This window comes from Homo sapiens, chromosome 21, assembly GCF_000001405.40.
Source record: "Homo sapiens chromosome 21, GRCh38.p14 Primary Assembly".
NCBI lineage: Eukaryota > Metazoa > Chordata > Mammalia > Primates > Hominidae > Homo > Homo sapiens.
In genome coordinates this window covers 46,419,189-46,433,459 of record NC_000021.9, presented here as the reverse complement: position 1 = coordinate 46,433,459, position 14,271 = coordinate 46,419,189, and the positions used below count along the sequence as shown (strand labels likewise).

The 14,271-nt window shown below is 56.2% G+C and overlaps 1 protein-coding gene and 1 pseudogene across 2 annotated transcripts in view, besides 5 other annotated features; one reads left to right on the top strand and one right to left on the bottom strand.

Moving 5' to 3' along the window:
• Positions 1-14,271, bottom strand: part of PCNT (pericentrin) — a 121,614-nt gene that overhangs the window by 12,310 nt on the left and 95,033 nt on the right. The window contains exons 32-38 of one of the 2 annotated variants that reach the window (NM_006031.6): positions 11,336-11,490; positions 7,489-7,629; positions 5,665-5,838; positions 4,870-5,065; positions 3,228-3,450; positions 2,803-2,953; positions 1,245-1,931 (exon numbers count right to left, since the gene is read on the bottom strand). In NM_006031.6, the coding sequence (NP_006022.3) occupies positions 1,245-1,931; positions 2,803-2,953; positions 3,228-3,450; positions 4,870-5,065; positions 5,665-5,838; positions 7,489-7,629; positions 11,336-11,490 (1,727 nt within the window). The remainder of the gene's footprint in view (positions 1-1,244; positions 1,932-2,802; positions 2,954-3,227; positions 3,451-4,869; positions 5,066-5,664; positions 5,839-7,488; positions 7,630-11,335; positions 11,491-14,271) is intronic. The other variant, NM_001315529.2, reaches the window with a different exon arrangement.
• Positions 5,994-6,493: an enhancer, noted in NCBI's record as "H3K27ac hESC enhancer chr21:47846881-47847380 (GRCh37/hg19 assembly coordinates)". NCBI's record gives its function as "activates a minimal SCP1, AML or CMV promoter by ChIP-STARR-seq in primed H9 embryonic stem cells {active_cell/tissue: H9 hESC(primed)}" and the evidence as "EXISTENCE:reporter gene assay evidence [ECO:0000049][PMID:30033119]".
• Positions 6,494-6,995: an enhancer, noted in NCBI's record as "H3K27ac hESC enhancer chr21:47846379-47846880 (GRCh37/hg19 assembly coordinates)". NCBI's record gives its function as "activates a minimal SCP1, AML or CMV promoter by ChIP-STARR-seq in naive and primed H9 embryonic stem cells {active_cell/tissue: H9 hESC(naive and primed)}" and the evidence as "EXISTENCE:reporter gene assay evidence [ECO:0000049][PMID:30033119]".
• Positions 10,609-11,114: an enhancer, noted in NCBI's record as "H3K27ac-H3K4me1 hESC enhancer chr21:47842260-47842765 (GRCh37/hg19 assembly coordinates)". NCBI's record gives its function as "activates a minimal SCP1, AML or CMV promoter by ChIP-STARR-seq in primed H9 embryonic stem cells {active_cell/tissue: H9 hESC(primed)}" and the evidence as "EXISTENCE:reporter gene assay evidence [ECO:0000049][PMID:30033119]".
• Positions 11,115-11,621: an enhancer, noted in NCBI's record as "H3K27ac-H3K4me1 hESC enhancer chr21:47841753-47842259 (GRCh37/hg19 assembly coordinates)". NCBI's record gives its function as "activates a minimal SCP1, AML or CMV promoter by ChIP-STARR-seq in primed H9 embryonic stem cells {active_cell/tissue: H9 hESC(primed)}" and the evidence as "EXISTENCE:reporter gene assay evidence [ECO:0000049][PMID:30033119]".
• Positions 11,622-12,128: an enhancer, noted in NCBI's record as "H3K27ac-H3K4me1 hESC enhancer chr21:47841246-47841752 (GRCh37/hg19 assembly coordinates)". NCBI's record gives its function as "activates a minimal SCP1, AML or CMV promoter by ChIP-STARR-seq in primed H9 embryonic stem cells {active_cell/tissue: H9 hESC(primed)}" and the evidence as "EXISTENCE:reporter gene assay evidence [ECO:0000049][PMID:30033119]".
• Positions 12,417-12,963, top strand: RPL18AP2 (ribosomal protein L18a pseudogene 2; annotated as a pseudogene).

Below are 14,271 nucleotides of genomic sequence, written 5' to 3'. Positions count from 1 at the left end.
AACCACCTCCCTACTCTCCAAGGCTTCTGGAGATAAAAAAAACTACGACTATTCCAAAGAGTGTTTTTGTTTTTTTGAGATGGAGTCTCGCTCTTGTTGCCCAGGCTGAAGTGCAGCGGTGCAATCCCGGCTCACTGCAACCTCCGCCTTGCGGGTTCAAGCAATTCTCCTGCCCCAGCCTCCCGAATAGCTGGGATTACAGGTGCACACTACCATGCCCGGCTAATTTTTTGTATTTTTAGTAGAAATGGGCTTTCGCCTTGTTGGCCAGGCTGGTCTTGAACTCCTGACCTCAAATGATCTGCCTGCCTTGGCCTCCCAAAGTGCTGGGATTACAGGCATCGGCCACCGTGCCCGGCCTGCTCTCATCCCTTCTATTCAACATTGTTGAGTTCGTGCCACTGCACTCCAGCCTGAGTGACGGAATGAGACTCCATCTCAAAAAATAAATAAGTAAATAAATTTAACAAAAGTATAAAACTTATATTTTGAAAGCAATGAAACACTACTGAAAGAAACTAAAGAAGGCCTAAGTAAACAGCCGAGTGTGGTGGCTGACGCCTGTAATCCCAGCAGTCTGAGAGGCCCAGGCGGGCGGATCACCTGAGGTCAGAAGTTTGAGACCAGCCTGGCCAACATGGAAAACCCTGTCTCTACTAATCCAAAAATTAGCCAGGCGTGGTGGCATGTGCCTGCAGTCCCAGCTACGTGGGAGGCTGAGGCAGAAGAATTGCTTGAACCCAGGAGGCGGCGACTGCAGTGAGCTGAGATCACATCACTGCACTCCAGCCTGGGTGACAGAGCCAGACCCTATCTCAAAAAAATCCTAATTAAATGAAGAGACACATTCTGTAATCGTGGATCAAAAGACCTCACACTGTCCAGATGTCAATACTACCCAGAGCAATCAGCACATTTAATGCCATCCCTAAGAAAATCCCAGTGGCAGGTTCTGCAGAAATACAAACACCAATCCTCAAATTCCTGTGGAATAGCAAGAAGCCCCACAGAGCTGAAACTATCTTGAAGAGGAAGAACGAAGTTGGAGAACTCACACTTCCTGATTTCAATACTTTCTAGAAAGCTACAGTAACAGCAGTGTGGTGCCAGCGTCAGGGCACACAGACCAGAGCAGACCAGGTCAGAGGGCCAGACATAAATCTCGCGTCCCCCACGTGAACCATCCTAACTCCAATTGCTTATCGTTTTTAGGTGTGGACGCTCCGCCGGCAGGCGGCTCTCACCAGCTTCTCCTTGTCTCTCTGCCACTTCCTCCACTGCTCCGCAGCCGCTGGGCTCTGCCTGGCCTCCGCGCTCCTCCTCGCAGCCTTGCGTCCTTCTTGCTCTTTCAACCGTGGGTGTGACTGCTCTAATTCTGCCTGCAACCACGCTGGTTTCTCCCTCTCTCTCTCCAGAGAGCATCTCAGCTCTCGTTTTTGGGTGTGCAGGGCTTCCACCGTCGACTTCAGTGTGGCACTTACCTCCTTCTCTCTCCTGAGCGCCTCACAGTGCTTCTGAGCCTCAGCCTCAAGCTGCTGCTGAGAATGCAGGGCTTGCTGCTGCACCTTTTCAAGCATCGCTTGCAAGTCCACCACCCGGGACTTCTCCTCCTTCAGCTTCTGCAGCAGAGCGTGATGGGCCTGTGTGTCCTGGTGCACGCAAGCCTCCTGTGTCCTCTGGCTCAGCTGCTCGGTCAGGAGCCGCTCGTGCCGCAAGGCCTCTGACAGCTCCAGGGTGCGGCTCTTCTCAGCCGCAAGGTCCTTCTGGAGCTCAGAGAGCTGGCTCCGCTCCTGAGCCAGCAAGGCCTCGCAGCGTGAGTGCTCGATACGCAGCTCCTTCTGCAGGTTGTCCTTGGCCGTCTGCTCGTGTTTCAGTGCCACGCAGAGTCGACTGCTCTGAGCACGCTGTGTCTCCAAAGACGCCCGCAGCTCCTAGACAGCAAACACATACGATGGGAGACACTGAATCAAGAGGAAAAGTGTCTACATGGTTTTCCTGTCCACATTTGTTTATATACTTTAGCCCAGCAATTCTACCTTTTGAAATGCACCCTATTAGCCACATGTAGGGACAACATTTTTTTGTTAGTTCATCAAGTAACAAAAAACCCAGACTGCGGAGATGACATACTTTTTTCGGAAATGGTGTTGAGTCCTGGGTTCAGAGATGTTCCCAGTCTGTCCCTCTCCAGAAAATGATTCAGAGATGTCCCCTGCCCGCCCCCTCTCCAGAAAATCACTCCACCAGAGGCTCCTGCCCCCTCTTCAGAAAATCACTCCACCAGAGGCTCCTGCCCCCTCTTCAGAAAATCACTCCACCAGAGGCTCAGAGATACACACCCAGCTTGCTAGGAACCACCACTTCCATGCTGTTGAAAGCCATAACCCATGGAACTGGCACAGACTTGCTCAGAAGCCACAGCAGGCCTGCTGGGCCTCCGCCATGCAAAGCAGAGGCCCCACCACCAGCCTGCCTTGTGCACAGACCTCTGAGGCTGTGCTCTGTCTGGATGCCAGCGAGGAGGCTGTGTCCATCTCCACAGCAAGTGCTCAGGGACGGGGGGGGGCTCCGAGCAGGGGTATCGTGCCACCACGGGTCATCGCACTCTTCGCCCTGTGGTGGCTGCCACTACACCAAGGTGCAATTTTACCTGCAAACACAGCCCTATCCTGCTACGTCACACTGCTGTCAACTGGGTGCACTGCCATGAAGAACAGGAAAAGAAGGATGAAAGAGGAGCATGGCTTCAGGCTTCCAGTGCACACAGCCCATGCCGGCTGCCTTGCCCTGACACCCTGTTACCTCCAGGGCCTTGGCACTCTGGCTCTCCCTCTGCAGGTGCCGCAGCTGCTCCTCCTCCAGCTGGCTCTGCAGGGCACGCCCCTTCCCCTGCTCACTCTCCAGCTCCTGAAGCGCGGCCTTCAGCTCGTTCTCCTTACTGCTCAGCATGGATCTGCGTGGAGACATCGCAGAACAATCTGACCACGTGGGCCAGAGTGTGTTCCCGGGGGCTGGGAGCTCCAGGAGGGGAGGCAGAGCCCTGCCAGGTCCCACACGTGTGCTTCACCCCCCACCACAGGATTATCAACCCAGGGACAGCAGGGCGCGGTGCCCCTGGGGCTGCCCAACTGCGGCCCACCAGAGGTTCTGTCTCCCTTCATCACCAAGAAAACATGGCACAACGGGGGGACTCCCGCCAGTGTCCCAGGAAGGGGGATCAGGCGCACCTCAGCTGGAGGACCTCCTGCTGCACCTCGCAGAGGGACCGGGACAGCTGTTCGCTCTTCTGCCTGCTCTCACAGAGGTCGGACTTCAAATCTCGCACTACAGTCTGCTCCGCCGCCAGGAGCTTCTGCACGCTGTTTGCCTTCTCTTGCTCTTCACTCAGCGTCTTCTGCAAGTCACCAGCAATGCACTTCTCCTGCTCTACTTTATAAGCCAGCAGTTCAACTGAGAAAGACAAAAGAACAGTAACAGGCCCCCATGAGCTCCTCGTGCTGCACAAGTGACACCAGGTTAGAGACAGACTCGTGGGGGCGTGAGGTGTATGTGCTTCGGGAAGAAAGGAGGTTCTGTGGACTAGAAGCTTTCACTGCGGGTGGAACCAGGATGCTCAATTCTGCCCTCTGGGCCCATTTCCTTCCAGGGCCCACCCACCTGGCCGGGAGACACAGAGTCCAGGAGTGATATAGCCCTGGGGCCATCCTAAAAATGCCACCTCACCCCCACTCACACCCTAAACTGCCTCCAACAGAGGGAACTCCAGGCCCAGGTGGCTTTACTGGAAAATTCTCCCAAAACTTAAGGAAGAAATAACCCCAATTCTAGACAACGGAGGGCGGAGGGGCTACTTCCCAAATACTTCCCGCACCCCGTGGGGCTGGCGCTACCCAGCACCAAGACCAAAAAGGCACAACAGAAAACAGACCAGTGCCCCTCACGAGCACTCAGACAGCACCGGCCCACCACCCCCATGCCCCTCACGAGCGATCGCACAGTGCCGGCCCCCCTGTGCCCCTCACGAGCACGTGCACAGCGCCAGCCCCCCCATGCCCCTCACGAGCGCTCGCACAGCGCCGGCACCCCCTGCCCGTGCCCCTCACGAGCACGTGCACAGCGCCAGCCCCCCCATGCCTCTCACGAGCGCTCGCACAGCGCCGGCACCCCCCGCCCATGCCCCTGACAAGCGCTTGCACAGCGCCAGCCCCACCCATGCCCCTCACGAGCATGTGCACAGCGCCGGCCCCCAGCCCCAGAGAGCACAAAGGGCATGGGCGCCGGGACAAGGGCCGTGGGCTGAACTGCAAGGCCGTTCCCCTTGACGGAATCCAAAACTAGGAACAGAGGGCACTTGCCCAAGCTGACCAAGGGCGCCTGACCCCACATGCGATGGTACGAGACCAGCTCCTGCCCCCAAAACTAAGAGCAGGGAATGGCATCTGCCCACACAGCTGACGGCACAGCACGTGAGAGAACACGGGCAAGAAACAAAAAATCGTTACTTACCCACAGATGACCTGAGCATCTACATAAAAACTCCCGAAGAAGCTAAATTAAATGTAGAAACCTACGAGACATTCCTGAACTCTAGCATGAGCTCCCAAGAATCTGCCAGCACTCAGAGCCCAACCCAGGCCCCTCTTGCCCACATCAGGCCCAAGAGTGAGGCCTCCGTGCCAGCCCCACCCAGCGCTGCCTGTCTCCAGGGTCCTTTCTGCTCAGTCCTATCAGCTGACAACCATGGCAACACTCAGGGGCTTGACTAGATGATGCCCTGTCACCACCCTCTGCTCCCAAGGCCACACAGGTGAGTGTCGGGCGGGCAGGTGCAGAGGCCGGGCCCCAGGCAGTGTAGACAGTGACACCCACCCTGCCTGCGCAGCTGGTGCTCCTGCTGGCTCCCGCGCGCCTCTGCGCTTGTCAGCGCCGTGCGCAAGTGCTGCAGCTTCTCCTGGTTCTGCAGGTGCGTCATGCGCAGCTGGGCACGCAGCGCCTGGATCTCGGACAGCAGGCTGCTCCGGTCCGGCAAGCGAAGATGCTCCAGGGACTTTTCCTGCAGGTCTCCCTGGGGGCACAATGGGACAAGCAGCCTGAGCATTGGGCAGCCACCCCATGCCCCGGCCTTCCCTGCTGCCCGCCCTCAAAACCAGCTCCGCCGGGACAAGCCTGCTGAGTCTGGGATGGGTGCACAGTATCTGCTGGGCCTCAGCTCTGGGGCCTGCAGGCGTCAGGGCTGGGCTGCACTACCCTGCGTGAGGCCTGCAAGCCAGTTACTCTCAACACTAGGTTTCCTCGTGTATGCTGGCAGGAACAGGATTTCCAGTGTCCCCACGGCACCAACGCCACCCAGCCCTGCACACAGAGCACCTCTCAACCTAGGAGGGGCTACTTGGAATGGAGAACGTTTCTTTAGCCACCTATCTCAGAAAAGAGTGAGGCCTGAGGGTGCATCTCGAGCACACCTGTCCTGTTACAGCTGCAGGTGGAAAAGTGCAGCATCCTGCATGGACTGAGCGTCAACACCTGGGTAAGTGACAGCCACATTCCAGCGGTCGAGAGAAACACACAAACCGAAATTCACACACAAAACAGTCTGTGTCACCCTCTCTGCCAGGGCTGGACCCCTGGGGCAAACTGAGGCCTGGTGGCAGAGCTGACACTCACCTGCTCACGGATGATCTTCTCCAGCCTTTCGAGCAGGGAGCTGTGACCCCCCAGATCTGAGCCACTGAGTCGGGGCTGCAGCTCAACCCCCTGCATCTCCTGCTCTTTTTCAAAGGCCTCTTGCACAACCTGCAGAAGGTCCCCTCTCCAATCGGGGCACGCGGTGGGCACTTCCTAAAGGAAGAAGGAAGAAACGTGGCGTCCTCACAAATGCACCTGCATCCTTGTGCCCTAAAGTTCGCAGTGTGACTGCGTTTGGAGATGGGGCCTGCGGGAGGTGATTCAGGGTAAATGAGGCCTCTTAAGAAGAGGAAGAGACACCAGAGCTCACTCGCTGTCTCCATCATATGAGGACACAGCACGGAGACGCTGTCCGCAAACCAGGAAGGGCGCCTACACCAGAATCCAACCCTGTGGGCACCCTGATGCCACAACAGGTGAAATCAATGTCTGCTGTTTAAGCCCCCTGGTCTGGGGTGTTCTGTTACGGCAGCTGAGCAGACTGACAGCCGTTCAAACAGAAATGACCCTGACAGAAGAGAAGACACACACTGCCCAGGGCCATTCAAGGCACGAGAAGCAAAGGCTGCCATCATGAGCACAGAAGAGACTGAAAAAGACGATAAAGTAAGGTCAGGAAAATGTCAGCAAAGCTCCTTCCCTCTTTTCCTGCTGCTGTGCCTTCAAGGCCCAGGGCCTGGAGGGGACCTAAGGCTGCAAGGGGCTACCCGCTGGTCCCCAGGGGCAGCGTGCAGCACCAATGAGCCTCCTGAATGCCAGCCAGGCTGCCGCTCGCACACAACCAGGGCCTGCTGGAGGGGCGAGCGGAGGCGGGTGGGGCTGACCCTCCCACCGGCTCTCCATGGCACCAGCACACCCTGTGCGTTCCAGGCACAGGGAGAAAGCCCTTCCCTCCCTCACAAAGCTTTGATCCCAGTCAGAGGCAGGCACAGGGGCAGGACAGGGTGGGCACGGAGATGGGAGGGAGCGTGATGGGAGTTGGCACCCACTCCACAACCTCCACAAGCCCTGGTGATGGAAGCAGACAGGCAGGGAGATGGGGAGGACTTGGGGAAAAGTGGGGTGCGGGGTCGACAGCACAGAGGTGAGGCCCTGAGGTCCAGTTGCTGGGGCTTGGGGTGTGGAGGGGGAGGTAGGAGAGACCCAAGGGGAGGAATGAGGCCGGAGGGCAAGTCACCCGAGTGGCAGGAGGAGAGGCCCTGGGGGACAAGTGCTGGAATGGGCCGAGTCCGCAGGGCCACATGGCCAGGAGGGACCACTCTCAGCCTCCCCGCAGGCTCACACAGGGCACAGGCCTGAAAGCCCTGAGCCCTTCTGCCCCCCACACACCTCCACGTCCCGCAGGGAACCTGCCCCGAGAGCCTGCGCTGGCTGTGGGAGATGGGAAGGCCTCCCCAGGGTTCTTGGACCTCAGTCTTTTTGGCCGTGCTAAAAAAAATCCTAGGCCAGGCACGGTGGCTCATGCCTGTAATCCCAGCACTTTGGGAGGCTGAGGCGGGTGGATCACAAGGTCTGGAGTTCAAGACCAGCCTAGCTAAGATGGTGAAAGCCCGTCTCTACTAAAAATACAAAAATTAGCTGGGCATGGTGGCATGCACCTGTAATCCCAGCTACTCGGGAGGCTGAGGCAGAGAACTGCTTGACCCGGGGTGGTGGAGGTTGCAGTGAGCCGAGTCTCAAAAAAAAAAAAAAAAAAAAAAAAAAAGAAAGAAATCCTAGTGTCCACGTGGCCCTAAGGACGCGGCCATTACCACAAGCTCCTTAAATCCTTTGGAAAAGAAGTGTGTGAAGGGCAAAATAAACCTGCGTCTTTCCCCCATGGAGCGAGATGTCCTGTATCTCGTCTTCCTTCCGGGGTGGGTGTGGCTCGCCGCTTGGGGGTGCAAGGCCTTCTGACAGCGCCAGGATCTGGTGGCTCTCGTCACGCACCATCTGCAGTAAAGCCTGTGGCGGGAAAGCGCGTCAGAAGGGAGTTGCCTGCCACCCCACACAGCCACGCTCTACACCACCTGCGGCCCCGAGCTGCCGCCAGGACTCTGTGAAGGGCGGGCAGCTGTGGAGAGGGAGGGCACCGCCTCGGCTTCGTACAGGCGGCACCCACTTCTCAAGCTACAAGGTTTTCAAGCCCACCTCTCCCGACCTTCAGAGAGACAACACGGAAGCCAGGCTTGGAGTGAATTTCTCTATAAGCCACTCCAAAGATGGCCCCGCCACTTCCTCCACTCCACCTGCTCCCTGAGGGGGACACCGTCCCCCGCCTAAGCCTGGACAAAGCTCAGGGCAGGGCTTTAGGCCAATGTCCACAGCGAGATCACAAACATATCACACACTCCCTGCCCACCTGGGACGCTACGAGAAGGCCACACGATGGCCACCCAGGAGGCCTCTGTGCGTGGTCCGGCTGAGGCCAGTGCCGACCACCAGCGTGGGGTGAAGCTGCCTGTGCTGGGCACGGGGAGCAGAGAAAACCATCCCCAGCAGGCCCTGCCCACAGGTCTGTGAACACGAGGCGGCTGCTTTATCCCACCGATTACGCAGCAGCTGGTGTCCGGACACACACTTGACTGTCTCGCCAGAGAGGCTGAGGGGTAAGCAGACGGCCCTATGGAGAAGCTGGTGTCACGACCAGCCTAGAGCCCAGAGCCCAGAGGCTCAGCGCGGTCACCACCACATGAGCACACACCCAAGCACAGGACACGTCTGCATAAAAACCTGAAGAGAAAAATAATCTAATAAAGTCCAAAAAGAGGGAAATGCAAAATGAGGCAATGATGAAGCCTACGACGGGTGTGACTGACTGAAAATAGGCTTTCCTGTAATTTTAACGATATGCCAAAAAAGGTCAAATATTAACACTAAAGTGTGAAACCAAATTGCACACTATGTTCATCTCTAACAACTGAAAACACTTTTACTTTAAACATAACGTATGTGGCACAGGATGGATGCAAACTGAGGTCTGCGGCAGAGCAGGGTGGGGTTGAGGGGAGCGGGGTGGTGCGGGGAGGAGCGGAGACGGGGGGAGCAAGGCCGTGGCTGGGGGAGCAGGGTTGGGGGGGGCGCAGTGGGAGCAGGGCCGGGGGAGCAGGGCGGCGGGCAGGCCCTGAAGCTGCTTGGCCCCTCTCTTCCAGCTGCAGAGGACAGGCCATTTCCTTCTTTTTAATATGCTTTTCTAGATTCTGTATAGAGGAGAAAATGCATTTTAAAAAACATCTCTTACAAAGAAGAGATGCAGAGGCCCTGGGCCACAGCTTCCCGCCAGGTGACACGGGGCCCTTGCAGGTGGGTTCCCGTGAGGCCGGGAAGTGGGGCAGAGACCAGTGGGTACCTTAGAACATGGCCTGTGAGGCAGCCTGGGGGGTCCCACAGACACAATCACTAGGGCTGAGAAGGTTCTGCCATCTCCACACTCAGGACCAGGCGGCTCTGCCTGTCAGCAGTGGTGGTGGTGGCAGCGGCGGAGGCAGGGGAGTCCTCATTTCCTGAGCTCCAGCACCTACCCTGCCCACTTATGGCTCAATTCCAGGCACGGCCAGAGGTGGCCAAGAGTGGCCGGGGCCCCACCCGTGCTCAGGACCTCTCAGCCTCCTCAGCATAGGGACCACAGGGGCTATTAGAGCGTCGACCACACTCTTGGCGTCTGTGGCTGCATCTGAGCAGTGGGTGTCCCCCACGCGCCTGGAGCCACCTCCAAGTGGGGCAAGCACCCAGCTCCACTCAGTTCCCCACTGCGGCGTCAGTGTGGGCACAACCCCAGGGCTCCACACTCTAAAACACAGGCCAGAAATTAAGACAATAAAGGAAAACCCTGAGTTTGAAACAGTCTGAGACATCCATGAAAAAAACTCCTTGTGATTTTCAACTGGACTTGGGACCTTTCAAAGCTGGAGGTGCTCCCTGGACAGCAGTTCCTCCTCTTCCTCCTCCTCCCCTCTCCCCTCCCCCTCCCCCTCCTCCCCTCCCACTCCCCCTTCTCTTCCTCCTCCCCTCCCCCTCCTCATCCCCCTCCCTTCTCTTCCTCCTCCTCCCCTCTTCCCCTCCCCCTCCCCTTCTCTTCCTCCTCCTCTCCCCCTCCTCCTCTGCTTCGCAGCTGCTGCCTCAAGGGCTACAGGAGGCCTTTCCTGCCTTTTGTGCTTTTCTTTTTAAATTATGAAACCTAAGTATGAAGAGTTAACATTAATCAAATTTATTCCTTAAAAATCAGGAATTCTAATATTAGGTTGTTTTCCATAGGAAACACTAACAGAAACATCTCCTTGACGTTTTATATTGTATAAAAATTTGAGGCCAGGCGCTGTGGCTCACACTGTAATCCCAGCACCTTGGGAGGCTGAGGTGGGCAGATTACTTGAGCTCAGGAGCTCAAGACCAGCCTGGGTAACATGGCAACACTCCATCTTTACAGAAAATACAAAAATTAGCTGGGTGTGGTGGCTCACGCCTGTAATCCAAGCTGCTTGGGAGGCTGAGGTGGGAGGATCGTTTGAGCCCAGGAGGCAGAGGTTGCAGTGAGCTGTGACTGCACTGCTGGGTGACAGAGTGAGACTCTGTCTCACCAAAAAAAAAAAAAGGAAATGCAAAGAAGATATAAAAAACTGATTAAAAAAAAAATCTCCAATTTCCATGTTTAAGAAAGTAAAATAAGTTTTTTTATTTTAATGAAAAAAAGAGGTTTAACTGACTCAGTTCTGACAGAGAGGGGTCTTACTATGTTGCCCAGGCTGGTCTTGAACTCCTGGGCTCCAACGATCCTCCTGTCTCAGCCTCCCGAAGTGCTGGGATCATAGGCATGAGCCACCGTGCCCAGCCAAATAAAGTAAAACAAGTTTTATTCTGAATGCAGTAAGTCCTCACTTAACGTCATGGATGGGTTTTGGAAACCGCGACTTTTAAACGCATGTAACAAAGGCACCCTCAGGGCCCTCTGAGACAACGGGAGCTGCGGCCAGCAGCACAGGAGTGTCCTTCCTACAAGGTCAGTTTCCAGGAACCTCGGGGCAACGCTAAGTGAGGACTTACTGCGCAGTCTCAGAAGAGGTTTCACTGATGTGAAGACTGTTTTGTTTGGGAATATGTTTACCACTTGACTAAGCTCCTGTAGTGGCATCATTCTATCACTCACTTGTTTAGCCAAGTTTTTGTCAATGGTTTTGCCATAAAATGATCTGCTAAACTGGGAGAGGAAAGAAAACCTATGAAAAGTTCCACAAAATTCTGCCTTCAAGGTTGATTCCAAGGAGGCTGAGTGGCTTCTCTCCCATCGTCTGAAGAGAACTCGGCTCAGTCCTAGAGCACTGCGGCGTCTGGTGCCTCGGCTTCTCTACAGGGCACAGGCAGGAGGGAGGCACAGGCGGGAGAGAGGCACAGGCCGGCTCTGCGACTCGGGGCAACACCACCTGCCCACGGGCTCACAGGACCCTCCCTGCCCAGATGGGAGGCGGCCACCTAAGGGGCCAGTGCAGGGCTGGGTGGGCGGCTTCCGGGGCCACCGTGGGGCTGCCTCCCGTGAGTCATTAAAATGCAGGTGCTCAGAGGCACCCAGGAAAAGCTGGCCCTCCAAGGCTCTCCCCGGCAAGGCAGGACACAGGGCTTGGGGGATGCCCCGAGGCTGCACATGTGAAGCTGTGAGGGCCGCCCCTGCCAGCCATACCTTCACGTGCTTCGGACGCACTTCCTTCTCCTTCATGGCTTCCGGCAGCGGCTGAAACCTTCCAGAGATGGAAGCAGGGGTCACAGGACCAGCAGTTTGAGCCTCAGGGCCTCCTGACCCCGGGCTCAGTCTTGCTCCAAAACCCGAGCCGTCACCTAAAAACACCACAGGGTCAGGGTCCCACCCACAGCTCTCCAGGGGGTTCCCCAGGGGACGCACTGCAGAGGCAGGACAGGGGTGATCGGCCCGCAGTCCCCAGCGACAACCACACCGTGATTCTGCTCACGGAGAAAACACTGATGGCCCCAAAAATGCTTCATAAAAACATAACCCTGGTGAGAAAGACGCACGTCAAGTAAGAAAACGCAACTTCACAGGTTGAGAACATCACCTGAGTCCCTGATTCCAGCGCCAATCTTAGGGGACCTCTGCTCACTTCTCCAGACGTGGCCCCCAAAGACTCCACAAAACCCAGATGGCCTGGGCAAGCTCAAGAGCAGCGGGACGTGCGGGGCCTGCACCCTCCACGCCAGCCACGGAGATAAGGCAGGCAGCGGACGGGCATCCAATGACTGCTCAGGAAACGCTGACCGTGCCTGCCATGGGGTCCCTGCGGTGCAGCTCCTGTGTCAGGTGGGCATGGGGTCTCAAGGAGGAAAATTCAAAACCTCCCAGGGCCCTGGTCCATCCCAGAGACCTGCAGCTGCGCCAGCCCACAGGGAGGGGGGCGCTTTGGAAACTGAGGCAGGATCGTGTAAGGGACACGAGACCCAGACGAGGAGGAGGCGCCCTGGAAAAAGGGTGTTAGACTTCAAAACAGGAGGATGAGGATGCCAGCGAGACGGGGCCCCCGTGTGGACAAAGCTCCCTGGGGAGCGGAGGCTGCAGCACTTGGGCACCTGGGGGATGATGCCCCGGCACAGCCTGCTGAGCAGAGGGCACACTGGGGAGGAGTAGAGGCCAACGATGCAGGCAGAGTACAACCTCAGAGGATGACGATGACCCCCTCAGAGAAATAACGGGCACGTCATTCACAAAATGAACCAACAAAGTGCTTTTTGTGAGTGGCGGCAAGTGCCGAGAGAGCAGCATGAAGGCCTCAGGAGCAGTGCAAGGGTGCAGGGTGCTGGGTTGCTGCCTGTACCCCTCAAAATGCCTCAGGCCACCCACCGCCTGCAAATCTTTGTGTCTAATAATGGTGCCAAGTCCTACTTCTGCCCTGTGTATCTCAGCTAAAGATGACAACGAAGAAATCTTTGGGGAAATCATCTACTTCAGGTGTTTGAGAAATCTCTGAGGGTGAAGGATGTTGCATCTGCCTGAGCTGCGGCTCCCACAGCGTGTACCAGGAACTCTGGGATGTGACTGCTGCGGACACTGTCACCCAGTGCCACCGAGACATGGGTGCCCAGCACCATGCCCCAGCCCACTCCATCCAGAGGAGATCACAGCCAGCAGGTGCCGCCAGCGGGTGGTCAGAGCTCCACAAGTCCAAGACCACATTCCCCATTGTCCCACTGGACCCTGTGCCTTCAGCACAAACCATGCTTCACCTCGGAGCCCAACACCTTCCTTCAGGTGCAGGGACCTCTCACCTGGCTGTGCCCAAAATAAACTCAAGAACGCCCTCCAAAAAAGAAAGAAACCAAGGAGCTAAAGCTAAAGGAGAGAGGAACAGTTAGGATAAGAAAGATTTCTGAGAAATTTAAAATATGAGCACAGAAACAGAACACTCAGCACAAATGTTGAAAAATAAAGTTCTAAAGAAAACCTCTTAGAAATGAGAACAAAAATAAAAGAAGTAGAAATAAGGAAAGAAAATTTGACAATCAATCTTGGAGGCCTGATATAGTTGAATAACAGGAATTACAAAAAGAAGAGAGAAAATCATAGGATACGTGAATGGAGGAAGGACGAACGAGGAGGAAATCCTCCACCCCGACCGCGCAGGCCTCCAAGGTCGCGTGTCACTGGAGGGCGCAGGCACAGAGGCGGCGGACACCCTGACCGCGCAGGCCCCTCAAAGGTTGTGCGTCACTGGAGGGCGCGGGCACAGAGGCAGTGGACAGGCACGCGATACCTTCCAACCCAAGTGTCTGCACCCAGCCAACCAACCGACAACCACCAGGGAGACGAGGAAGTTCTCAAAAACAAGCACCTACCAGACACCTTTTCTACAGAGGCTTCTGGGGACATGTTTCCTTAAAAAAGAGGGGGCTGGCCAGGCGCAGTGGCTCATGCCTGTAATCCCAGCACTTTGGGAGGCTAAGGTGGGAGGATGACTTGAGTACGGGAGGTGGAGGCTGCAGTGAGTCGAGACTACGCCACTGCACTCCAGCCTGCGTGAGAGAGCAAGACCCTGTCTCGGTAAATAAGAGACCGTTGAGGAGGGGCAAGGGGCCGCCTGGGAGCCCCTGAGAGTTGTTGGGGAAGCACCTGCTGTGCTTGGAAGGCTTGGATGACATTCACCTGGACACTGTGTGCGAGGACAGCAGTGAAGCACACAGGAGAAACTGAGCCAAGAAAAACAAAAGTGGCTCGAGGGGGACGCACGCTCCCAGCGGCTCTGCTGGAACACGGGGCGCGTCCTTTAAGGGCAAACCTTGGCTGTGACAGCACAGGGCGTGCAGACTGCACCTCGTGTAGCAAGGGGCGTGTGGCGAGGGGCTAGGAGGGCTGAAGATGCCACTTTAAACAGCAAATAGAGTTTGAAAATAAAGCAAATACGAGAAGACATTTCTGAGAGTTGAATGTGGCATCCCCAGGGAGCTGCAGTCCTGAGTGGGGAGCTGGGACACAGGCTGCTCAGGAAACGGTCCCCTCAGCACCCATAACTGTCACCCTGCGTGCTCACTATTCATCAAATAAATAAAAACAAAATTAAAAAGCTGCTGGCCCTACTCTGCAAATACTAAAATTTCTAATTAAATTGTGAC